The sequence below is a fragment of the Homo sapiens genome, chromosome 15 (genome assembly GCF_000001405.40).
Source record: "Homo sapiens chromosome 15, GRCh38.p14 Primary Assembly".
Lineage (NCBI taxonomy): Eukaryota > Metazoa > Chordata > Mammalia > Primates > Hominidae > Homo > Homo sapiens.
Window position 1 is genome coordinate 88981307 of NC_000015.10, and position 25269 is coordinate 89006575.

The window sequence follows — 25269 nt, forward strand, 5'->3', positions numbered from 1 at the left end:
GGTAACATAGCAAGACTCTATCTCTATAAAAAATTTAAAAAGGAGCCGGGAGTGGTGGCATGAGCCTGTAGTCCCAGCTACTCAGGAGGCTGAGGTGGGAGGATTGCTTGAGCCTGGGAGATTGAGGCTGCACTGAGCCATGGTCATACCACTGCATTCCAGCCTGGGCGACAGAGGAAGACCTTGTCTCCATCAATCAATCAATGAAATAGTTTCTGGCACATAGAAAGTCCCGAATAATATATAGTAGCTACTTCTTTGGAACGTATGACTGCAGAATTTATTTTTCTCCTTTTTTTCCTTTTAAATACGTAACCACTTCAGAAAACTCAATTTACAAAAACCCAAATTTTGGAAGCGAGAATAAGCCAGTGGGTAATAATTCTAGTTATAAAATGACTCACTAACCATTGTTAGGCTCTTTACATTTTTACTTGATGTCTTAAAAGCAGTGATCCATCCACTGAGCAAACACAATGATTGAGACACTATAAATGCTTTGAAATCCTGAGAGGGCAGACCCTGCGGAGAACAGGAATAAACGGACCTTTGGCATCCTGTGCGGCTCCTGTCGAAGTGCTGGAAGCCAGAAGGGGCTTCTCACTCACTGGACTGAAGAGGGATTCACCATCTTCCCAGCTAGACCCCAAGTCCTGAGCCTCACATTCCTTTAACTTCCTCTTCCCTCCAGCCAACCCAGTCCATTTGGAAATTCCTAGAATTTCAGCCTGATCCTTCCTCAAGAACAAAGTGGGGCCAGGCGCGGTGGCTCACACCTGTAATCCTAGCACTTTTGGAGGCCGAGGTGGGTGGATCACCTGAGGTCGGGAGTTTGAGACCAGTCTGATCAACATGGAGAAAACCCATCTCTACTAAAAATACAAAATTAGCTGGGCGTGGTGGTGCATGCCTGTAATTCCAGTTACTCGGGGGGCTGAGGCAGGAGAATTGCTTGAACCTGGGAGGCGGAGGTTGCAGTGAGCCAAGATCACGCCATTGCACTCCAGCTTGGGCAACAAGAGCGAAACTCCAGCTCAAAAAAAAAAAAAAAAAAGAACAAAGTGGGAGGCAGCATTTCCTGCCGAGGCCTTCTGACCTGGCATCAGATAAGCTGGCTCTAGACAAGGGTGACGGCCCTGAATCAGATGGCTCTGGCACTGCATCTAAGGGGACAGGGCACACTGGGTCAGAACAGACCTTCTGGCACGGGGCAGTGTAGGATGGACAGCCCCACTGTCCCTGAAGGTTGCTAGAGCTGCAGCCGCAGCCCCAGCCCCAGGCCCCTGCTAGAGCTCCCAGGAGGACTCCCTGTAGCCAGATATTCCATGATGCTGTGGGAACTGGCCTGAGTCCAGAGGTCTTCTGAAATTCTGAGTCAATCCTCAGGAGAGGAAGTATCCACTAGGCGTGGGAGCCTGAGTGACCATTTAAAAAGCTGCAGAGAGCCCAGAGCCACCTGTAGTCCCAGCATACGGCCCAGAGGTTCCTGTGGCCCAGCACTCTCTGGGCTGTGGTTGACACAGCTCAGAGAGCAAAATCATAGCTAACCCTAACATAATAGCAGCTCACTCTCACTTCCTTAAGAAGAGTCCTGCTTTAAGCATTGTATTAGTTTCCTGTGGATGCTGTAATAAATTGCCAGACACTGGGTGGCTTAAAACAACAAGAACTTATTTTCTCACAGTTCTGGAAACCGGAACCTGAAAAGGTATTTGGCTGGGCCAAGCTCCCTCCAAAGGCTCAAGAGGAGACTCCTTCCTTGACCCTTCTAGCTCCTGGTGGCCCCAGGTGTTCTTTGGTGTGTGGCTGCCTCACTCCAACCTCCTCCTCCCTGCATGTCTCCTCCTCCCTGCATGTCTCCTCCTCTTCTGCCCCTGTCATTGTCATTGGATTTAGGGCCCACTTGGATAATCCAAGATGATCTCCTTATCTCAAGATCCCTGACTTAATTACATCTGCAAAGACTCTTTTCCCAAATAAGGTGACATTCACAGGTTTTGGGGTTAGAACATGGACCTCTCTGTTACGTGTACTAACTTCTATCCTCACAACAACCCTATTTTAAAAAGTGCTCTTATTTGATAGATGGAGAACTCAGGTATAGGCAGTTAAGGAATTTGGCCGAGGTCACACAGCCAGGAGGTAGCATAGTCACTATATCATATTGCCCCTCCCATAAGTCCTGGGGTCCCAGACACAAGAGCGTTCCCACAAGAGTGACTAAGGGGGTCTGGGACACAGGAAGCCAAACCTTGTTACATAACCTCGCCATTCCATACACACCTGGACATTTGATGAAATGACTGAAATAATATTCAAATAGATGAAGGGCTGGGCACAGTGGCTCATACCAGTAATCCCAGCATTTTGGGAGGCCAAGACAAGAAGATCGCCTGAGCCCAGGAGGTCAGGACCAGCCTGAGGAACATAACGAGATCCCGTATCTATAAAAAATTTAAAAATTAGCCGAGTGTGATGGTGCATGCCTGTAGTCCCAGGTACTCAGAAGGCTGAAGCTGGAGGATTGCTTGAGCCCAGGAAGTTGAGGCTGCAGTGAGCCGTGATCGTGCCACTGTGCTCCAGCCTAGGCGACAGGGCAAGACCCTGTCTCTAAATAAATAAATAAATAAAAATGAAATAAAATGGATGAGAGTGCCATGAGGAAGGATTTCAGGTAAAAGGACAAGTGCCATTTCATTCACACTTCCCATTGGGAATGGCGTCTGGAACTTGGTAAGCACTGAATCCATGCTGGTCATTATCATGCACATTCCTAGCAGCCAGGGAACAAGAAGGGGAGAACTAGCACAATGGGAGACACAGTCTCTCTATCCTTGCAGGTGGCCCTTGCCTGGCAGGCTCTGGTACCAGTCTGACCTGACACCTCTGCACCCTCTCCTATAGGGAAACTGAGGCATGGTGACATAAAATTAGAATCTGAGTTACGCAACTAAAATCAAACCAATGTTCCTAAGTTAATCATAGAATTAGCGGCGTAATCCAGCAATTCCACTCCCAGGTATTCAACTCCTAAGAACTGAAAACAAGTGTTCGAACAAAAACGTATACACAAATGTTCACAGCAACATTCTTCACAATAGCCAAAAGGTAGAAACAACTAGATGTCACCAACCAATAAATGGATAAAAGTGGAATATCCATGCAATGAAATATTATTCAGTCATAAAAAGGAATGAAGTACTACATGCTACAACATGAACCAACCTAAGAAACATTCTGCTAAGTGAAAGAAGACAGATACAAAAGGCCTTATATTGTATAATGCCATTTATTTATTTTTTAATTTGTTTTTGAGATGGAGTCTCACTCTGTCACCCAGGTAGGAGTGCAGTGGCACCATCTCAGCCCACCGCAACCCCCACGCCCTGGGTTCAAGTGATTCTCCTGCCTCAGCCTCTGTAGTAGCTGGGACTACAGGTACCACCACCATGCCTGGCTAATTTCTGCATTTTTAGTAGAGACGGGGTTTCACCATTTTGGCCAGGATGGTTTCGATCTCCTGACCTCCTGATCCACCTGCCTCGGCCTCTCAAAGTGCTGGGATTACAGGCGTGAGCCACCGCACCCAGCCGTATGATGCCATTTATATGAAATACCCAGACTAGGCAAATCTGTAGAGACAGAAAATAGATTGGTGGTTGCAGGGGGTAGGGGAAAAGGGGAGTGGGGAATGACGGCTTCATAGGTAGAAAGATTTCCATTTGGAATGTTGGAATGATGGAATATGCTGGAACTAGATAGTGGGTAAGTTTGCACAAAATTGTGAATGTACTAAGTGCTACTGAGTTATACACTTAAAATGGTTAAATGGCATGACTGGGTATGATGGCTCATGCCTATAATCCAGTGTTTTGGGAGTACAAAGCAGGAGGATGCCTTGAGGCCAGGAGTTGGAGACCAGCCTGGGCGACATAGTGAGACTCAGCCTCTACCAAAAATTTTAAAAAATAAAATTAGCTGGGCATGGCGGTGTTCCTGGACCAAACTGAGGGTCAGTCTGCTATTTCTCGAGGCCCAGTAATGAGATGCAGATGAACTGGGGAGGAAGAGAGTTTTTATTTCTGTAACCCGTTACAGAAAGAAGGCCTGGAAATTATCACCAGACCAACTCAAAACTACAGAGTTTTTCAGAGCTTATATACCTTCTAAGCTCTATGTCCGTGTGGAAGTGTGCATTCATCTAAAGACATAAGTGATTAACTTCTTTTACTCTACAACTAAGGTCTGAGTCCGGAAGACCTTCTTCAGGAGCCTCAGTAAGTTAATCTAAATGGGTCTGGGTGCTGTGCTGGGGTGATTACCCTTATCTTGTCTCCTGCTAAATCATGGAGGTTTGAGGAGTTCCTTCAGACCTCCAATAACCATGTTTGTGGAGGCCTGGGGAGTTTCTTCAGAACCCCAATAAAACTTGTTTAATTCTAAATGGGTCCTGTTAAGAATTCCTTCATTATTTTGTCATGCTTTAAGGCCCAGAAAAGGCCTAGGCAAAACTCTTGGTGGGCTTTTGTTACATTCCAGCCTTTGTGATACGGTTCCGATGACTGGAGGAACACCAGCGTCTTCTGTCTCACACTGATAGGATTAACGACATGGACACACGTGGAGTGACTTTAAGGCACGAAAAGTTTAACAGGCAAGAAAGAAGGAAGGAAGAGGAAAACTCCCCCATACAGAGACAGAGGGAGGGGGGATTCCAACAAAAAGAAAACCCCATGTGTGGCAGAAAAGTGGTTGCTTATGTTGCGATGCTGGAGGAGGTGGTGTCTGGTTTCCATAAGACCCAGGGGATTGGTTGGACCAGGTGAGTCATTTACACAGCCCTCAAAAAACCTGGCCCTCCCACCTTAGTCCTCTAATATGCAAATGCGGGTCGCCATGATATTCCGAACACATGGTGTTATCTGGAGGTGGCCATGACACTTGGTACTCCCGGTTACAAGGAGAAGATGGTGGGAATCGCCATATTGAGTGAGCCCAGTTTCTAATGGCTGGCATTTGCATATTAAAGCTTGCTGGCCCAGCCCTTCGAGCCACCTTTTCTGTTAGAAAAGAGATGGTTCAGGGGTTGTTTCTTATTACAAGAAAATTTCCACCAAGAACCTTTGCACTTACTATCTGCCTAAAAATTATTTCTTAATAACTCCTGTATCATTTGTATAAGGGTACTGGCTTTTCTTCAGCTTTTAATATTTAACCTAACCACTCAGTCAGTACTGAAACAGCTGCGCTGGAAGCCTGCGTTAGTGAGACCTGGCCTGCCACAGTGGTCCCCTCCTGTAGTCCCAGCTACTCAGGAGGCTGAAGTGGGAGGATTGCTTGAGCCCAGGAGTTTGAAGCTACAGTGAGCTATGATCATGCAACTGCACTCCAGCCTGGGCGAGAGAGACCCTGTCTCTAAAAATAAATAAGTAATAAATTAAAATGATTAAAATGATGAATTTTACATTATGCACACTTTACCATGGTAAACTAATCAAGCTGGAGTCACAGCTCTGCTCCTGCCTCTCGGGAGTGTAACTGGTGCCCACCCCTTTCCAAGCCAAGGTGATAGGAGCCCACCTTGTTTCTGTTTTGTTTTGTTTTGTTTTTTTGTAAACATCCAAATGACTTCTTTCTTATTTTTATTTTCACTTTTAAGAAAGTTGTGAAACAAAGAAACAAAACAGGTAGGTTTTACTCACGGTAAAACTCTGGGTGATAACACAAGGCAATAATGAGGGGGTTGGGGACTGAGTAAATAAACCCAGAGAGAAGTAAACAATACCAGAGGGAGCAGCAGCTGATGGCATGTGGGAGGTGAGGACCCGGTAAAGGGGCGTCCAGGGTCTGAATCAGCCTGGAGCCCCGGGGTGGTGTCTTCACGGGGCGGTGCCTCCACCCAGCTGGGCCTGCACTGCAGGCTGGGCTCAGACCGGGGACGCATCTGGCCCATCAGGACTCCAAGGCACAGGAACCCTTTCCTGGATCTGCTCTCTGCCCCTCCCGGACTCAGGCCCCCTCCTCCACATTCAATTCCCTCGCTCACAGTTCATGAATCCAGCCTCTTGCCTCCTAAACCAGACCCTGCATGAGGCACCCCCTCTCCTGTTGGGGCATTGCACAGCCTGCATGAGGCACCCCCCTCTCCTGTCTGAGGCATTGCACAGCCTGCATGAGGCACCCCCTCTACTGTTGGGGCATTGCACAGCCTGCATGAGGCACTCCCGCTCCTGTCTGAGGCATTGCACAGCTTGCATGAGGCACCCCCCTCCCAGGGGCACTCAGCCGGCTTTGTCTGCCTCTCCCAGGCAACCTCAGGCCGCACCCACACTTTCTAGACCAAATGGATCCCCCAAAATTAAAGATTCCAAACCCGCCGATGCTGAGTGACAGAGTAGAAAGAGCATGGACATCCTGGGCTCCCATGGTGCCCTCCCTTCTGTGACCTTTGATTGTGTGACCTTGACAAGTCACAGAAACTCTCCCCTCAGTGCTGAAAACTGGGAGGCGCAGCATCCACGTTGCCCACTTCCTGAAGCGTTGTGGAGATGGAGTGAGCTGCTGTGTGGGAAAGTGTACAAAGATAAATTAGCATAATGAACTCAGGAAATTTCAAGTCCCAGCCTGACTTGCCGTGTTCCCCTTCTGTCTTCTGCAGTGACCTGGAAGTGCTGTAACCACCCATTCCCTTGCCCAGGGGCCTGCCTGCTCCTCCCAGGCCACTACTCAGAGAGGTCTCCTCTGTGCTTGCTTGGAAGGTTCCTGTAGCTATAAGCAGGTCGCTGAGAGCCCTCTCCCCAGACCCAGCACCCCCGCCCCTGTTCTCTTGCTGTTACCTGTCAACAGGCTTCCTGCTGTTACCGACCCCAGCGCAAGAGCCACAGAAGGCAGCTCTCTGAGGGCACCAGGCCAGGCAAGGCTGAGCATCCTCCCAGGGAGTGAGACATCAGCTTCCCAAAGAAAGGTCTTCGATTACTAGTCTCTTAAAAATGCTTCAAATAAAACAAAAGGGGTTCTACAGCTACAAACGTTTGAGGAATTTGGCTAACCCAAGTTCAACCCTCCCCCTCCTTTCCCTTCCCCCACCCATCTCAGAAACCTACAGTAACCTGCTAAGTTGGGACCACACAGTGGTTAAGGCATGGGTTTTGTTTTGAAGGCAATTTTCAAATACACACAAGGAGAATGATTAGTAAAATCAACTCTTTGGACCAAAGGAGTTAAGGACATAACACCCCAAAATACCCTGACCTGGCATATTGATTATTTCAAGCCGAAAGCATCTGAGAAGCAGCAGTTGTAGATAAGATAGGACCTTCTGAGCCACCCTTTTGTCACCTCCCCATGGGTTCTTCTTGCCTGCTGCTTAGATAGAGTAGATTTATCAAGGCAGGGGAATTGCAATAGAGAAAGAATTTTATAGACGTAGGGCCGGCTACACAGAAGATCGGAGTTTTTTTTCTTTTTTCTTTTTGAGTTCAGGATTATATATATTACAATTTGCCTTGTTATAATACATTTGTGGCTTTATGATAAAAATAACTCAGGGACATATGGAATTCAAGCTGATTTGCGTAACTGTCACAAGAAAAAAAGCATTAAATGCATTTCTGAAATAAGTATTTTCATTTAATTTCAGAATCTCAAAACAGCATTAGACCTTGCCTTGTTTAAAAAAAATTAAGTTAAATACTAAGCTAAATAACCTTCTTGAAAGGTTTAAAAACACAATTGATATAGAAAATGTTTTCCCTCTAATCTCAACCTTACATAAATGGAACAGGTGAGGAAGAAAAGGTAGACAATTTCTTTAGCAGCCTATATGGCTAAATCCATCAAACACTAACTGGGGAAATATCAAAAATTAACCATTTCATAAACCAAAAGATAACAATTTTAGGGTTACAGTAAGTAAAATATTTTTGAAACACTTCAAAAACTTTTAACCATAAACTAGAGAATCATCTCTTCATTGTACGAAAGAAAGGACTAACAGAAAGTAAGACATTTAAACTAAACTGATTTTCAATCCTCTTAGAACAAAATGAAAAATAATGGTGGATTAGCTAAGCTTTGTGCTCTAATCAAACTAATTACAGTGATTTAAAATGGCAACAGCCCATCAGACTGGGCAGCTTGACAGTTCAGAATACTTTTGCAATAGTTTTTTAACGCAAAGACACTAAAATGATGGGGTCATGCAATGTCCATCTTATGCATTCTGCATCTCTTTGCCAACCTCGTAGCTAAGGATCTTGTTCCAATCAATCTTAGTGCGTGTAAGTAGCAATTGTCGATGTAAGGCTTTGAAAGTAGTGTCCGACATTGTCTGATAATTCTCACTAATGGCAGTCTGGTATTCATTTTCTGCAGCTTTTACAATCTTTGTAGATTCTTTTGCTGTTTGCACTTCATTAGACACTGTTAGGGAATCTTGTATATCTTTATGACTCACTAGCTGAACATTACTGTCTTCATAATAATGAACCTGAATTTTCAAGATGCCAACCACTTGAGTGGTTGAAGGAGTGATTATAAACCTCCATTCTGACCTCCAATGACCATTCCAAAAGTTTTTTGCTTGGAACTGATGGCTTTCTATGCATGCAATAGTGGTTTGCTGTCCATCTATTTTTTTTTTTTGCTATACGCAGTGCAGACTCCATTCGGGTAATGTTCTTTTACGTAAGCTCACAGAGTAGTTTCTACTTAAGTTCTCCATGATTCAATTGCATTTTCTACTTCACAGGGTCTTGGATCAGTTGCCTCCTTTCTTAAGTGATCAAATTTAAAACAGATTCTGTTCTTTGGATCCTAAAACTTTCCATTTCCCAAGTCGCCATGTTTTGTCATCAATACCTGATCTTCATAACCTTCCATTTTTACAGGAGTAAACTGCTCCAAGTTATACTGTGCAGACGCACGGGCTGCTTTTTCCCTTCTCTTCATCAGACAGCTCCTCCTCCAGACCCGCCATCTTCCTTCTAGCAACAAACTGTGGCGGGGGCGGGGGCAGTGGCCACGTGACTTACCCCTTTCCGTGCGGTGCTCGGCGCCGCGCACCACCCCCGGAGTTTTATTATTACTTAAATCAGCCTCCTCAAAAATTGGAGGCTGAGGTTTTTCGAGGACAGTTTGGGGGAAGGGCGGGTGGCTGGGCAATGGGTGCTTGCTGCTGATTGGCTCGGGGTGCAATCATAGGGGTGTGGAAAATGGTCTTCGTGTAGTGAGTTGCTTCTGGGTGGGGCCACAGGAGCAGCTGGCCGGTCCTCGTGGAGTCATCGGTTGTCAGAAATGCAACAAGACATCTCAAAAGGCCAATCTTAGGTTCTGTCATAATGATGTTATCTGCAGGAATAACTGGGAAATTTGCATAGCTTTTTTTTCTTTTCTTCTCTCTCTTTTTTTTTTTTTGTTCTGCTCTGCTGCCAGGCTGGACTGCAGTGGTACTATCTCGGCTCACTGCAACCTCTGCCTCCCGGGTTCAAGCCATTCTCCCACCTCAGCCTCCCGAGTAGCTGGGATTACAGGTGTGTGCTACCATGCCTGGCTAATTTTTATATTTTTAGTAGAGATGGGGTTTCACCATGTTGGCCAGGCTGGTCTGGAACTCCTGACCTCAAGTGATCCTCTCGTCTCAGCCTCCCAAAGTGTTGGGATTACAGGCATGAGCCACTGCGCCCAACCCATATCTTTGTGTAAAATAATTTTTTTTTAAATAAATAGAGACAAGGTCTCAGTATATTGCCCAGGCTAGTCTCAAACTCCTGGGGTCAAGAGATCCTCCTGCCTTAGCCTCCCAAAGTCCTGGGATTACAGGTGTGAGTCACCGTATCTGGCTGGAATTGGCATATCTCATGACCTCCAGAATAATGGCTGCAGTCATTTATGTCTACACATCCAGTGGTCTCTCATTAGTGTTGTGGAAAAAACTGGGTTCTTTTCTCACAGTCATGACAGGCTCACAGACACTTTGAAGGGTGAGAAGGGTAGGATTTATTGGGTGAAAAGGAACAACAAAAAAAAGGGAACAGGGATTCTTAGCAAAGCAAGAGTCCTGCTAGCAGGCTTCCCGCCTCACAGATTGAATCCCAGGTTACCACCCAGGAACAGGAGAGGCCAGGTTCCTCTCCCCTGCAAAGGGCGCAAACTTCCCATGGCTCCAGCCCATTCTCCCCCCCACACCCCTGTTCTCCCAGTGCCTTCATAAAACTGATCATTCTTTGTCCAAAAGGCTTTCTGCTTTGGTCATTTCTTAGGTCTTCACTCTCTTGTGAAGATCCTCATGTGTATGTAAAATTAATAAAACTTGTAGCTGGGCTTGGTGGCTCACGCCTGTAATCCCAGCACTTTGGAAGGCCAAGACAGGAGGATCGCTTTAGCCTGGGAGATCAAGACCAGCCTGGGCAACATAGGGAGACTCTCTCTACAAAAAATGTAAATACTAGCTGGGTATGGCATGCCTGTAGTCCCAGCTGCTCGGGAGGTTAAGGTGGGAGGATTCCTTGAGCCCAGGAATTTGAGGCTGCCGTGAGCTGTGATCACACCACTGAACTCCAGCCTCGGTGACAGAGCTAGACTCCGTCTCAAAAACAACAAACAAACAACAAAAAACTTGAATGCTTTTCTCTTGTTAATCTTTCTTGTATTTAATTTGGTTCCTAAACCCAGCCAGATATTCCACTTCAGAACTAAGACAGTGTTAACCCAAAATTAGAGACTGAGCCAGGGGTCTCAGTTCATCGAGATTTGTTGAGTGAGAGTTTGAGGTCACACCCAGGAGAAACAGGCCACAGAAACATCTGTGGCCCATGCTCTTAGAAGCAGTTTTCAGAATTTACAAATGTCTTTAAAGGGAAGAAGACACCTAGGAAGAGGGAGTTAGGAGGTGAGTTTGTAATCGAACTTCTCAGTGTGAAAAATCTAACAGACTTTAGTTTTAGGGGTTAGGCTTAGGTTACAAACCTAAAGTTATACTTAATATGTGCTTGTTTTATGGGAGGATCTATATATCTTGAAAGGTTTAGGGGCCAGCAAAGAATTTATGAGCAATTTGTGAGGGCAGTCGTGAGACTTTTCGTCTCCTTGTGGGAGTCTGGCTAATGTATAATGCTTTAACACAAGCCTGTGAAACAGCAGCTCTCCGCTTGGGAAAAGGTTGGTGTTACTGCATGACTCAGTCTCCAGGCTTCACTTTGGTACAAAGAGTTTTGGGGTTCTGAGATTTTTCTTTTCCTTTACAATGGATTGAACAGATCATTAGGCTCCATACAGGACCCATCATCCACCTTCAACAATTATTAATGCCAGGCGACATGTCAGAGCTCTGGCTTCGGAAAGTGGTCGACTTGCGGGTTAGTAAGAAGAATTTACTGACAGTATAAGTTTGAAAAAGGAAAGTTTTAAATTAGCCGGGTGTGGTGGTGCATGCCTGTAATCCCAGCTACTTGGGAGGCTGAGGCAGGAGAAGCACTTGAACCCGGGAGGCAGAGGTTGCGGTGAGCCAAGATCGCACCACTGCACTCCAGCCTGGGCAACAACAGCGAAACTCCATCTTAAAAAGAAAGAAAGAAAGAAAGAAAAAGGAAAGTTTTGTTAGAAGGAACCCTGCAGCAGAGTTCAGTGGAGGCCTCAGCGAGACAGGACAGAGCGCATCACAGCGGACTTTTCCACAGGGGTATTTATGGACCTAAAGCAGGAGCTGAAGGGTAATTTGCACGATAAATGATTACATTTTTAGACATTTGGTGCCTTGATATCAGCAAGGGTTCTGCATGCATGCATTCCAGAGATGTATAGAAATTCTAGTTACTTACTAATTTTAACTTGAAAAGAGGCCTGGAACCAGGTGCCTTTAGATAATAGGGAAGCCTAATTACGTCTAAATTCCTCAGAGACAGGGGTTTTTGTCTCCGGAGGTCTGCTTGATGGTCACCAGGAGATTTTTGCTCTCCTCAATTAACATTTAAGAATATGGAGGAGCCAGGCACAGTGGCTCACACCTGTAATCCCAGCACTTTGGAAGGGAGAGGCAGGCAGACGGCTTAAGCTCAAGAGTTTGAGATCAGCATGGGCAACATGATGAAACCCCATCTCTACAAAAAACACAAAAATCAGCTAGGTATGATGGCATGCACCTGTAGTCCCAGCTACTGAGGAGGCTGAGGTGGGAAAATTGTTCAAGCCTGGTAAGTTAAGGCTGCAGTAAGCTGTGATAGCGCCACTGCACTCCAGCCTGGGCGACAAAGTGAGATCCTGCCTCAAAAAAAATAGAATATAGAGAGCCTGGCATAGTGGCTCATGCCTGTAATCCCAGCACTTTGGGAGGCCAAGGTGGGAGGATCTCTTGAGCAGTTCAAGATCAGCCCGGGCAACTTAGTGAGACCCTGTGTCTAAAAAAAAAAAAAAAAGTGAAATTAGCCAGGTGTAGTGGTGCTAGCTAGTGATCCTAGCTACTCCGGGGGCTGAGGTGGATGGCCTGAGCCCAGGAGGTCGAAGCTGCAGTGAGTCTATATCGCACCACTGCACTCCAGCCTGGGCAACACACCAAGACCCTGCCTCTCACAAAACAGAAAGAATATGGGAGAGGAGGGATTTGGGAGTCAACCTCATGTCCAAATCCAATCCCACCACCAATTCACCGGTGAGAGGTGAAGTCAGCTGGACTTCCTGAGTCAAGTGGGGACTTGGAGAACTTTTCTGTAACTAGCTACAGGTTTGTAAAATGGACCAATCAGCAGGACATGGGCAGGGACAAATAAGTGAATAAAAACTGCCCCCACCCCCACACCCCCCTACACCACCAGCCTGCAGCAGGCAACCCACTTGGGTCTCCTTCCATGCTGTGGAAGCTTTGTTCTTTTGCTCTTTAGGTTCGTGCCAACTTTAAGCTGTAACACTCAGGGCGAAGGTCCGCAGCTTCATTCTTGAAGTCAGCGTAGACCACGAACCCACCGGAAGGAACCATATTCCGGACACACCAGGACCCTGGGTAAGTTGTTCAGTCTCTGCATAAGTGAGAATAATACCTCTCACCTGAAGGGACTGTGCTGAGGACAACATAAAATTAGGTAGCTCTAAGACACTAGCTCCATGTCCTAGGCAAAGTAAATGCTCAGTGAATAGTGATCATTGCTACAGACTATGTAGCAATGTGTGCTATGGGCCAAGAGTGTGAGTTGCCTGGGCTTGAATCTCAGCTCCTGCTGCTTTCTTTCTGTGTGATCTGGGATAAGTTACTGACTCTGTCTGTGCTCCAGTGTTTTCATCATAGTACCTACCACATAGTGTTTGTTCTAAATACACGAACTCTTTTAATTTTAACATTCAGAACAGTCCATGACAGATTAGTGAGGGCTCAATAAAGGTGGGCTTTGCCCCTGATAACACAACCTGTTGAATTCTATTTGATTTGGCATATATATATATTTTGAGACGGAGTCTCGCTCTGTCGCCCAGGGTGGAGTGCAATGGCACGATCTCAGCTCACTGCAACCTCCGCCTCCCGGGTTCAAGCGATTCTCCTGCTTCAGCCTTCCGAGTAGCTGGGATTACAGGTGTGCACCACCAGGCCCAGCTAATTTTTGTATTTTTAGTAGAGACAGGGTTTCACCATGTTGGCTAGGTTGGTCTTGAACTCGACCTCGTGATCTGCCTGCCTCGGCCTCCCATAGTGCTGGGATTAACAGTCGTGAGCCACAGTGCCCAGCCTAATTTGGCATTTTACAAATTCCATTCACATCTATAAGTATCCTCCTTCTGAAGTGGAATCCCAGAGTCTGAAGTTTAACTCAGACCAAGTTTACAGCACCGAGCTGGGTGCAGTGGCTCACACCAGTAATCCCAGCATTTTAGGAGGCTGAGGTGGGAGGATCACTTGAGTTCAGGAGTTAAAGACCAGCCTGGCCAACATGGCAAAATCTCATCTCTACTAAAAATATAAACATTACCCGGGCAAGGTGGTGCACACCTGTAGTCCCAGCTACTGGGGAGGTTGAGGCAGGAGGATCCCTTGAGGCTGCAGTGAGCCGTGATCATGCCTCTGCAGTCATCTGCTTGATAGAGCGAGACCCTGTCTCAAAAAAATAAAGTCTCAGGAGTCTCGTTTCCAGAAGAAATGTCAGATCTGTGGGCCCAACAGTTACGTGTTCTGTTTGGCTCGCTTGTGGATCTTACATTGTTCACAGGACATCTAAAGAAGCTTTTAGGCTGACATTACCTTGAAAAGCTGGAGATACAAACCAGGAGAGGCTTCAAGGTGTCCCTCCCCACTGACTAGTGAACAAAAGGAATCCCAGATCTTGAAGACCTTTACACTGCTGTGGAGGCTTCCCTGCCTGAGCCCTATCAGCTGGAAACCCTGGAGTGGAATGTACAGGAGCTCGAGGATTCATGGATGAATCTATCCCATTACCCAATACTCACTGGGTGCTGAGCACTGGGGATGGCAGAATGCAGTGTATGCAGCTTTCCCTAAGTGACTTTGGACTGCACACTTAACATACATAGGTTTTCTTTTTATGAAGTGTATAAACCAAAAATAAAATTCTAAGCGCCCCCCACCCCCCACCCCGCCAACCCTCTGAATGGACTTTCTCCTTGGCCAGGGCGCTCTTAAATTTTTCTTTTTTTTTTTTTTTTGCTGAGATGGAGTCTTGCTCTGTCGCCCAGGCTGGAGTGCAGCGGCATGATCTCGGCTGACTGCAACCTCCGCCTCCCAGGTTCAAGTGATTCTCCTGCCTCAACCTCCCAAGTAGCTGGGACTACAGGCACGTGCCACCATGCCCGGCTAATTTTTTTTTTTTTTTTTTTTAGTAGAGATGTGGTTTCACTGTGTTAGCAGGATGGTCTCGATCTCTTGAACTCGTGATCTGTCCATCTCAGCCTCCCAAAGTGCTGGGATTACAGGCGTGAGCCACTGCACCCGGCCTTTTTCTTTTTTTTCCTTTAAGTTCTGGGATATATTTACAGAATGTGCAGGGTTGTTACATAGGTATACATGTGCCATGTTGCTTTGCTGCACCTATCAGTCCATCATCTAGGTTTTAAGCCCCGCATACATTAGCTATTTGTCCTAATGCCCTCCCTCTCCCTTCCCTTGCCCCCGACCCCCTGACGGGCCCTGGTGTGTGATATTCCCCTCCCTGTGTCCATGTGTTCTCATTGTTCAACTCCTGCTTAGGAGCGAGAACATGCAGTGTTTGGTTTTCTGTTCCTGTGTTAGTTTGCTGAGAATGATGGTTTCCAGCTTCATCAATGTCTCTGCAAAGGACATGAACTCATTCATTTTTTATGGCTGCATAGTATTCGATGGTGTATATGTGCCACATTTTGTTTATCCAGTCTATCATTGATGGGCATTCAGATTGGTTCCAAGTCTTTGCTATTGTAAATAGTGCTGCAATAAACATACGTGTTGGTGGGAGTGTAAATCAGTTCAACCATTGTGGAAGATAGTGTGGCAATTCCTCAAGGATCTAGAACCAGAAATACCATTTGACCCAGCCATCCCTATACTGGGTATATACCCAAAGGATTCTAAATCGCTCTTAAAATTTAACATGAGAGATGGGTCAGGCCATGATGGGAAGTAGGGATCGGACATGCCTCATTATACCTCTCCAATATTAACAGCAACACAGACCTTTAAGTCTAATAAGAAGCATTTACAACCTATTCTTTCTGAAGCCTGCTACCTGGAGGCTTCTTCTGCAAGTAAGAATTTGGTCTCTACCATCCTTTATCTTAACCCAGACATTTCCTTTCTATTGATCCTGATGGATTTTTAGATAAAAACCGATTGTCAACCAGAAAATTTTAAAATCTATCGATAGCCCGGAAGCCCCCACTTCCACCTTTCTGAACCAAACTAATGTATTTCTTAAATGTATTTGATTGAAGTCTCATGTCTCCCTGAAATGTATAAAACCAAGCTGCATCCCGACCGCCTTGGACATATGTTCTCAGGGCTTCCTGAGGGCTGTGTCCTGGGCCATGGTCACTCATATTTGGCTCAGAATAAATCTCTTCAAATATTTTACAGAGTTTGACTCTTTTCATCTACAGGTGTGTTGGGGCCCACAATACCATACTCCAAGATGAAAGTCTCAGAAGCAGCTCCAGAAATAAGTTTTTCTATGACCTTCTGCCCTTTTGTCTCTGGCCCCTTGTTCCCCCACAGGCTAGCCATAGAAACTAGAACCTTTCCCCAAGGCGAGCCATAGGAATCAGAGCCCCTTTTCCCCACAGCCAGCCATAAAACCCCAAAATATTGCTCTAATCCCACCCCCTTTCTGTGTAAAAACTGGTCATAAAGAAATTAACCTACCTTGTTTGACTGTGGGTCATAAGATCCCCATTCCGGAGAGAGTCCTGCCCCACACCCAGAAAAAAAGGGACTGCTGCAGAGACAGGCCAAGAAGAATCTACACAAACAGGCCTTGCTGGGTTCCCCCACTCGGGCTGTTAGCACTACATCACACCCTTTTTGTCCAATCATATTTCTATACAGCTGTCCATACTTTGTTGAACCTAAGCAAAGAAAGGGACAATCTCCTGTGAAAGGAAGATAAATCTTCCCCAAATCACTAAGCCAAAGGGAAAAGTCAAGTTTGGAACAGCGTTGGGCAAACCTGCCTCTCATTCTATTCCTAAATAAGATAGCTACAAAGATAAAAAAAATAAAAATTAAAAAAAAAAGGCTACATACCTCCTTCACAATTTGCCCACAAGGAAATTCCTTGTGGACAAAGGACAGAACTCAAAGTCATCCCTCTGCTCACATGGGACAAATGCATATGTGATGACTTCCTTTGCCCTGTTGTTTCACACTAATCCAGACTAAGGCATATTCCTGTAAATTGTGCATTCAGTGAAAGGCTAATCAGATACTCAAAAGAATGCACCCGTTTATGTCTTTTCTACCTATGATCTGGAAGCACCCCCCACACACAAAACTCTGAGTTGTTCCGCCTTTCCAGACTGAACCAATGTATTAAATACATCTTACATATATTGATTGACGTCTCAAGTCTCCCTAAAATGCTTAGAACCAAGCTGTGCCCAACCACCTTGGGCACATGTCATCAGGACCTCCTGAAGCTATGTTACGAGTGCTTCCCTAACCTTGGCAAAATAAACGTTCTAAATTGACTGAGACCTCAGGAGTTCGAGACCAGTCTGACCAACATGGTGAAACCCCATCTCTACTAAAAATTCAAAAATTATTCGGGCATCGTGGCAGGCGCCTGTAATTCTAGCTACTCTGGAGGCTGAGGCAGGAGAATCTCTTGAACTCAGGAGATGGAGGCTGCAGTGAGCCGAGATCATGCCATTGCACTCCAGCCTGGGCGACAGAGTGAGAATGTCTCAATAAATAAATAAATCGACTGAGATCTGCCTCAGATATTTGGGGTTCCATACTCTGCTGTATCTTGGGTCTTCATTTTGCAGTTTCCTGTGTCACATAAAACTATGACCAAATAAATTTGTGTGACTTTTCTCCTATTTGCCTTTTGTCAGCTGTTTTTTCAGCAAACCTTGGTTTCCAGAGTCTCTTTCAAATCTTGCCTTTTGTGATTATGTCATGAGTGGTGTAAGGTTAGCGATAACCAGGTCCACGCATGTTTGTGTCTTTCCACTGTAAACCAAAAAGTATCCAAGACAGGTCTTCAACTTAGAAGTGTATTTTGCCAAGGTTAAGGACATACCTGGGAGACAGGTCTGTGTGTAACTGCCCGAGGGGTTCCTCCTGCCTGCTGCATAAAGACCACAGCATTGTAGTAGAGAAAGAGTTTAATAGACATGAGGCCAGCCTCACCACATGGGAGAGGGAGTTCATATGCAAATCATCTTGTCCTAAGCTCACAGGTTAGGGGTTTTTCAAAGACAGCTTAGGGGAAGTGGTGGGAGTGGCCAAGTAACAGATACTTGCTGCTGATTGGTTGGGGGGATTAAATCATAAGGGGTTGAAGTTCTCCTGTGGGCTGAATCTCTTCTGGGTGGGGCCACAGGAACAGGGTTGGCAGTCCAGGTGGAGCCATCCGGTCCAGGTGGAGCCATGGGCATCGGACATACAGAAAAACTGGAAATATATCTCAAAAGGCCAATCTACAATAGTGGTGTTATTTGCAGGAGCAATTGGGGAAGTTGCATCTTATAACCTCCGGAATAATGGCTGATCCCTTTATGTCTGTGCCTTAGCAGGACTCAGGTCCCTCCAGTGAACCTGATGGCCTTCCATTAACTTTACAAAAGCAGTTGAGTTTGGGGCAAGGCCTATTATCATTTAAACTATAGCCTAAATGTCTTCCAAAGTTATCGTGGCCCAATAGCCCAGGAAAAATTCAGAGAAAGGCGAGATGGGGGTTGAACAGTTAGCTTCGCTTACTGTTATAATTTTCCTCACTGATACAATTTTTGCAAAGGTGGTTTCATGTGCCCTTCTCCAAAGATGATTTTGAGGGTTTCCCTATTTAAAGGGGAAAAGCAGGCTGGAGGGGAAAGGGGAGTGTGTGGTCACATTACTGAGTCTACGTGTTGCAAGAGAAAAGGAGCAGGTAGGAGAATAGTCAATTATATACTCATCTTGCACTCAGCAAATCAGCACTTTACATAGGATAAGGTGAGCAGCTGGGCACAGTGGCTCACGCCTGCAATCCCAGTACTTTGGGAGGCCGAGGTGGGCAGATCACCTGAGGTCAGGAGTTCGAGACCAGCCTGACCAACATGGAGAAACTTGTCTCTACTAAAAATACAAAATTAGCTGGGCGTGGTGGTGCATGCCTGTAATCCCAGCTACGTGGGAGACTGAGGCAGGAGAATCACTTGAATCCGGGAGGCGGAGGTTGCAGTGAGCCGAGATTGTACCATTGCACTCCAGCCTGGGCAATAAGAGCAAAACTCCATCTCAAAAAAAAAAATAAAAAATAAAGTGAGCATAGAGTAGCTCCTTGTGCAGATATTTAACCTTTTTGTTTGTTTGTTTGTTTTCTGTAGCTTTCTGCATAACTCAGCTTTCAGCTTAATTTTTTCCTTCTGGCACAGTGAATTGGGGTCCCAAGTTTTTATTTTCTGATCACACCATAATGTCAGGCCTTTATTGATGCTGTTTCCATCACAAAAGCCACGAGCTACAGGGAGTTCCCAAGGAGGCAGTACTTGCCGTTCACTTGGAAGTCAGAGCCGCAGGCACACAGGCTCAAGCCATTCCACAAGTCCATCAATATTGCAAACGATACATAATAGTATACTTAATATAGAAATGTTATAGGTTAAACAGGCCACAACAAACAAAGTCATATTTAACATCAAGAGGAAAAAGAGAAAGGAGAAAAGGTTAACAAACCAGTCTAGGGGGAGCGAAGTAGAGTGAAGAGTCCTGGTCTGGGCCAGGCCATCAGTCAGTCTTGCAAGAAACAGTTTTTGGCAGGGCGCAGTGGCTCATGCCTATAATCCCAGCACTTTGGGAGGCCGAGGCGGGTAGATCACGAGGTCACGAGTTCAAGACCAGCCTGGCCAACATAGTGAAACCCCGTCTCTACTAAAAATACAAAAAATTAGCCGGGTATGGTGGCAGGCACCTGTAATCCCAGCTACTTGGGAGGCTGAGGCAGGAAAATCGCTTGAACCCGGGAGGCGGAGGTTGCAGTGAGCCGAAATCGCACCATTGCACTCCAGCCAGGGCAACAGTGCAAGACTCCATCTCAAAAAACAAAAAAAGTTTTTGACGGCAGGGCCTTGGGTGCAGATGTGGAGTTCTTGTCACTCATGATAAGTGTCAGTCAAGACACTGGTGTTGACACAGGAGATAGAAATTATTTAGGCAGATAGGGCAAAAGAGTCCTTGGCAGAACTCCTCTCCTAACAAAAAGCAGCCCAAGAAATTATTATTTTTTTTCCCTAACAAAGAGCAGCCTGAAAAATCAAGCTGCAAACATAAATAAGAAAGCTGGAAGCTTGCATGGGGGATTGCCAGCAGCTGCACCAATAGAAAAGGGCTACCTGGGGGCCAAGCATGTCCACCGTGGAAGCTCCACCTTCCCGTTTTTTGTCAGCATGTATACAGTAAGAAAGAAATGGGCAACATGGCGCAGCTCAGGCAGGGAACCCACCTGCATAATAAAAGACTGGGTGGGGGCTGCCAGAGATTCACACCCTATGCAGGTGGGTGGCAGATGTAGGACACTTGGTCCCAACCAGTTTTTCATGCCCTATGTAGATCAGACACCACCTTCCCACTAGCTCATCTATAACCCCCCCTGCATTTCACCATGGATCAGCAACCCATTTTTTCAGGACACCTCTCTGTAGTAGAAAGCTATTCTCTTTCTTTTGCTGATTAAATTTCCACTCTTAACCCCTCACTCTTTGTGTGTCCGCATCCTTGATCTCTGTGGCCATGAGACAAGGAACCTCAGGTTCAAGCAATTGTCCTGCCTCAGCTTCCTGAGTAGCTGGGATTACAGGTATGCACCACCATGCCTGGCCAATTTTTGTATTTTTAGTAGAGGCGAGGTTTCACCATGTTGGCCAGGCTGGTCTCCAACTCCTGACCTCGTGATTCATCCGCCTCAGCCTCCCAAAGTGCTGAGATTACAGGTGTGAGCCACCGTGCCCAGCCAGGCCTGCTCTTTTAGAGTCACAGAGTTCTCTGGTGACAACTGACAGTTGGAAGAGTTGTGCTTGTTTGTGTCTTTATCTGGTTGGATGCAGCCTTTATCTTTTTTTTTTTCTGCTTATTAAGCAAAATATCTTATCCTTGTTGGCAAAGTGCCCTGTGAAATATAAAATGGAGTCTTTTTCTAAGATGGAGTTAGTTGGGTCAAGGGTGCTGTACACAGATTATATCTTTATTATTATTATTATTATTATTATTATTATTATTATTATTATTATTTTTAGAGACAGGGTCTCCCTAAGTTGTGCAGACTGGTCTTTAACTCCTGTGCTCAAATGATCCTCCTGCCTCAGGCTCCTGAGTAGCTGGGACTACAGGCATGAGCCACTGCCCCTGGCTATCTAGTTCTATTTTTGATCTGAACTTCTACTATTTTAACCATGTGATTCTTTTGCCAAAACAACAAGGGAGAGAGAGATATCAGAGCCTGGGGCTTCTGCAGAGTGGCCCTCCTCTCTGCCAGCACATCTGCCCACACCACCTCCTGCACACAGATGTTTACAGTCGCCAGAAACCACAGCACTTCCGCCTGCTTCAGACAGTGTGGCCAGCTCATCCCACTGACCTCTTGCTTTGTTTATTAGAGAAAAAAAGCAAACGCCTGACTACCACCAAAAAACCCTACCACCAAGGTCCCAGACAGGCTGAACCCATAACCTCAGGGAGGGAGGGCAGCCTGAGGTGAGGGGAATCCCAGTGGCCTGAGGAGGGCTTGGCCACCCCCTGACCCCGGCAGGAGCACCGTGAATGAACTGAAAAGGGGGGCCCTGTACCCCAGCGCTGACCTTTTCATCCCAGTGCCTGGTCTTCTACCACGGACTCCACGGTGTAAAATGACTTTCTTTCTTGTCAGCTGCATTTATGAAATAATGCTGCTAAAAAGGCCAGTTATAGTTGTGAAAAGAAAGTTGACCAGGTGTGGGCGATTGGATTAGATTCTGGTTTCTGTCATCCGCTGCCCCGCTTCCTAGAAGCAGACTGTTTATCCCCACCAGCCATGAGATGTGTGGTGCCTCCCGGGGAAAGAGTGTGCCTTTCCTGCCCTGTCAGGCCTGGCCACATGAGTGATTATGGCCCATGAAACATGGTGGAGGTGACACAGGCCAGCTCCGAGCAGAGGCTCTAAGCATGTACACCAAAAAGTATCCAAGACAGGTCTCAATCAATGGAGAAGCTTATTTTGCCAAAGTTAAGGACACACCTGAGAGACAGGTCAGTGCCTTTCTCCAAAGATGATTTTGAAGGTATCAATATTTAAAGGGGAAAGTGGGCTGGAGGGAAAAGACAGCACAGTAATTCACATGTTACAAGAGAAAAGGAGCAAGGAAGGGGACAGTCAATTATGTAATTATGTATTCATCTGGCACTCAGTAATCAGGACTTCACATAAGGTGAACACAGTAGCTACCTGTGGAGATTCCTTTCTTTCTTTCTTTCTTTTTTTTTTTTTTTTTTTTTGAGACGGAATCTTGCTCTGTCACCAGGCTGGAGTACAGTAGAACGATCTCAGCTCACTGCAACCTCCACCTCCCAGGTTCAAACAATTCTCATACCTCAGCCTCCTGAGTAGCTGGGACTACAGGCGTGTGCCACCACCACACCTGGCTAATTTTTTGTATTTTTCGTAGAGACGGGGTTTCACCATGTTAGCCAGGATGGTCTCCATCTCCTGACCTCGTGATTCACCTGCCTCAGCCTCCCAAATTGAGGGACAGGCGAGAGCCACCGCGCCTGGCCACCTGTGGAGATTTCTAACCTTTTACCTGTAGCTACCTGCTTAGGAACAAAAGGAAAGGCAGTGGATTGCATGATGCAGCTTTCAGCTTAATTTTTTTCCCTTTCAGCACAGTGAACTGGGGTCCGGAGTTTCTATTTTCCTTTCACAAGCGCCATTGCGTTGCTTCCTGCAGCTGTCCTGCTCTCTGCCTCGGGGATACCTAGTTCCAGACTGGGGCTCCTCCTTCACCTTGAGTCCTGGAATGAGAGGTCACAGGGGCAGAGCTGCAGCCACCAACATATAACGTGAGAGCAAGCAACAAGCCATTGTTGTTAGAAGCCATGAGATTTGGGAGTTGTTACCTCCTCAAGGTTGTAGCACTGACTCCTGCTGATGTCCAGCGTGCAGACTTACCCTAAACATTTCAGCCCTGACATCCCATGCCTTACAATAAATCTCTCTCCCTCCACCCCCCAACCTCCAGAACCAATCCAGGTGTTACTGTATTCCCAGGCCGAGAACTATCCTTATGATCTGCAAGGCCCTGGGTCTCTGCGGCTTCTGCTGCAGGGTGCAATGGGGATGTGAGGCAGGACTCTGAGAAGCTGGGTGCCCCCAGCTGGTGCTTAGGAGCCTTACACCGCTGAGCTGGAACTCATCCCCGCGCTCCTGGCCCTCCTCTCCCTGAGCCCCATCCTCTCCTGTTTTACACAACCCCCAGCAGGCCTGTGATCCTTTGCTGATTTCTTTTCCTCTTTAAGGTTGTCCTTAAGTATGATTTATCCCAACTTCATCAATGTAAAAACAAGTGTATTGATCAAAGACTTATCAGCAGCCTTTCCCCTTTCAGGAAGTATCTATCCCTTGAGTCTTTTCTTTCCTTCTTTCCTTCTTCCCCCTTCCCTTCTTCCCTCCCTCCCTTCCTCCTTCCGTTCCCTCCCCTCCCCTTCCCTTCTACCTTTTCCCTTTGCCCACTCCTTCTCATCTTGTCTCTAGTTTCCACAAATGTGCAGACAGTGAATACAGTGGGAGAGAAAGGGCCCACTCTGGGAAGTGATTGCAAGGCACAAGGACAGGAATCAAGCCAACTGCATGGTGTGGAAGGGCAGGAACAGGTGCAGGCGCAGCAGCCCGGTCAGAGGCACGGAGGGCAGAAGCAGGGCCTGGTAGTGTTGGGGAGGCTGGTTGGGAGGTGAAGCCCTTTACTGACACAGGATATGGGGAAGAGTTGGTGAGCGGGTGGGAAGAAAGTTATTTGGGTTTGAGATGTTAAATTGAAGGTATCTGTGGGATGCCCATGTGGACAGGCTGAGAAGGCAGAAGGAAGTTAGGATCCACAGCTCAGGAGAGCAGTGGAGAAAGACACTGTGGTTTGGGTGGGCCTCAAAATCCCGGAGAGAGGTGAAGTTGCAGGAGTGGAAGAGAAGTGATGAGTGACAGGAGAAGTGCTGGCTCCACGCTGAGGAAATTCCAGCATTCAAAGGACTGGCAGGTAAAGAGGTGCCAAAAAAGAGGAAAAAGGGGGACAGGAGGGGCAGTCCATCTCCAAGTTCCAGAGAAAGAGAAGAAAGAGACAGAAAGGCTGGGCATGGTGGCTCACCCCTGTAATCCCAGCACTTTAGGAGGCCGAGGCAGGCAGTTCACCTGAGGTCAGGAATTCGAGACCAACCTGGCCAACATGGTGAAACCTCGTCTCTACTAAAAATACAAAAAATTGGCCAGGCTTGGTGGCTTGCACCTATAATCCCAGCTACTCAGGAGGCTGAGGCAGGAGAATCACTTGAACCTGGGAGGCGGAGGTTGCAGTGAGTGGAGATCGCGCCACAGCACTTCAACTTGGGGGACAAGAGCAAAACTCTGTCTCAATTAAAAAAAAAAAAAAAAGGAGAGAGAGAGAAAAGAGAGAGGATAGAAATAATAGGAAAAATGCCGGGTGCGGTGGTTCACGCTTGTAATCCCAGCACTTTGGGAGGCTGAGGCTGGCGGATCACAAGGTCAGGAGTTCAAGACCAGCCTGGCCAACATGGTGAAACCCCGTCTCTACTAAAAATATGAAAAAAAAAATTAGCTGGGCATGGTGGCATACACCTGTAATCCCAGCCACTCTGGAGGCTGAGGCAGGAGAATTGCTTGAACCCAGGAGGCGGAGGTTGCAGTGAGCCAAGATCATGCCACTGCACTCCAGCCTGGGTGACAGAGTAAGACTGTGTCTCGGGGTTGGGTGGGGGGAAGAAAGAAATAATAGGAAAAAAATCCCTAAGTTGAAGAAAGACATGAATCTTCAGATTGAAAGAGTTCAAGTGTCAAGCAAGACAAAGAAAAGCCAAAAACAAAACTAGACACAGCCTGGTAATACTGCAGCACTCTAAGGATAATGAAAAGCTTTCTACATGTTTCTGGAGTGAGGAAAACAGGTCACCTGCAACTAGCATCAAATTTGTCATCGGCAATATTGGGTTCTAGAAGACGTCTAAGATATATATTGAAAGAGCGCCTTCCAAGTTCTCAGGGAGTTTTGATGCTATAGATGTACACCCGCGTGCATTTTCTGGGGAAAAAAAAGGTTCAAAGACATACTCCAGCAAAATAAAAAACGAATTCACAAACAGGAAATAGTGAAATTAACTGAGGAGCACAATGTGGAAAAAAAAAAATCCCAGAATGACAGTTGTCCACAGACCAGCAAAGTTAGTGGTTCAGTTAGAATAGCAAATTTTTAATTACATTAAAAAATGATTTCAAGAAGAAAGTGGATTCCAATCAACAAATAATGTTTATGAAAGAGGATGATCTTTGTCTCTCCATCAGTAAAAAAGCCAGAGAAGCAATAAACAAAACTCCAGGAAAAACAAAAGGTTATGTAAGTTGTGGCCCA

The 25269-nt window shown here is 46.3% G+C and overlaps 1 pseudogene, besides 7 other annotated features; it reads right to left on the reverse strand.

Annotated features, from left to right (window-relative positions):
• Nucleotides 4132-5022: a transcriptional cis regulatory region, noted in NCBI's record as "candidate enhancer chr15.3128 targeted for multiplex CRISPR interference". NCBI's record gives its function as "positively regulates MFGE8 gene expression with high confidence in K562 cells {active_cell/tissue: K562}" and the evidence as "EXISTENCE:mutant phenotype evidence [ECO:0000015][PMID:30612741]".
• Nucleotides 5780-5999: a transcriptional cis regulatory region, noted in NCBI's record as "candidate enhancer chr15.3129 targeted for multiplex CRISPR interference". NCBI's record gives its function as "positively regulates HAPLN3 and MFGE8 gene expression with high confidence in K562 cells {active_cell/tissue: K562}" and the evidence as "EXISTENCE:mutant phenotype evidence [ECO:0000015][PMID:30612741]".
• On the reverse strand, nt 7916-9002 carry LOC100129942 (capping actin protein of muscle Z-line subunit alpha 2 pseudogene; annotated as a pseudogene).
• Nucleotides 11861-12762: an enhancer, noted in NCBI's record as "OCT4-NANOG-H3K27ac-H3K4me1 hESC enhancer chr15:89536398-89537299 (GRCh37/hg19 assembly coordinates)". NCBI's record gives its function as "activates a minimal SCP1, AML or CMV promoter by ChIP-STARR-seq in primed H9 embryonic stem cells {active_cell/tissue: H9 hESC(primed)}" and the evidence as "EXISTENCE:reporter gene assay evidence [ECO:0000049][PMID:30033119]".
• Nucleotides 17555-18358: an enhancer, noted in NCBI's record as "OCT4-NANOG-H3K27ac hESC enhancer chr15:89542092-89542895 (GRCh37/hg19 assembly coordinates)". NCBI's record gives its function as "activates a minimal SCP1, AML or CMV promoter by ChIP-STARR-seq in naive H9 embryonic stem cells {active_cell/tissue: H9 hESC(naive)}" and the evidence as "EXISTENCE:reporter gene assay evidence [ECO:0000049][PMID:30033119]".
• Nucleotides 20863-21474: an enhancer, noted in NCBI's record as "H3K27ac-H3K4me1 hESC enhancer chr15:89545400-89546011 (GRCh37/hg19 assembly coordinates)". NCBI's record gives its function as "activates a minimal SCP1, AML or CMV promoter by ChIP-STARR-seq in primed H9 embryonic stem cells {active_cell/tissue: H9 hESC(primed)}" and the evidence as "EXISTENCE:reporter gene assay evidence [ECO:0000049][PMID:30033119]".
• Nucleotides 21492-21786: a silencer, noted in NCBI's record as "tiled region #4646; K562 Repressive DNase matched - State 5:Enh". NCBI's record gives its function as "represses a minimal TATA promoter and a strong SV40 promoter by Sharpr-MPRA in K562 cells {active_cell/tissue: K562}" and the evidence as "EXISTENCE:reporter gene assay evidence [ECO:0000049][PMID:27701403]".
• Nucleotides 22590-23090: an enhancer, noted in NCBI's record as "H3K27ac hESC enhancer chr15:89547127-89547627 (GRCh37/hg19 assembly coordinates)". NCBI's record gives its function as "activates a minimal SCP1, AML or CMV promoter by ChIP-STARR-seq in naive H9 embryonic stem cells {active_cell/tissue: H9 hESC(naive)}" and the evidence as "EXISTENCE:reporter gene assay evidence [ECO:0000049][PMID:30033119]".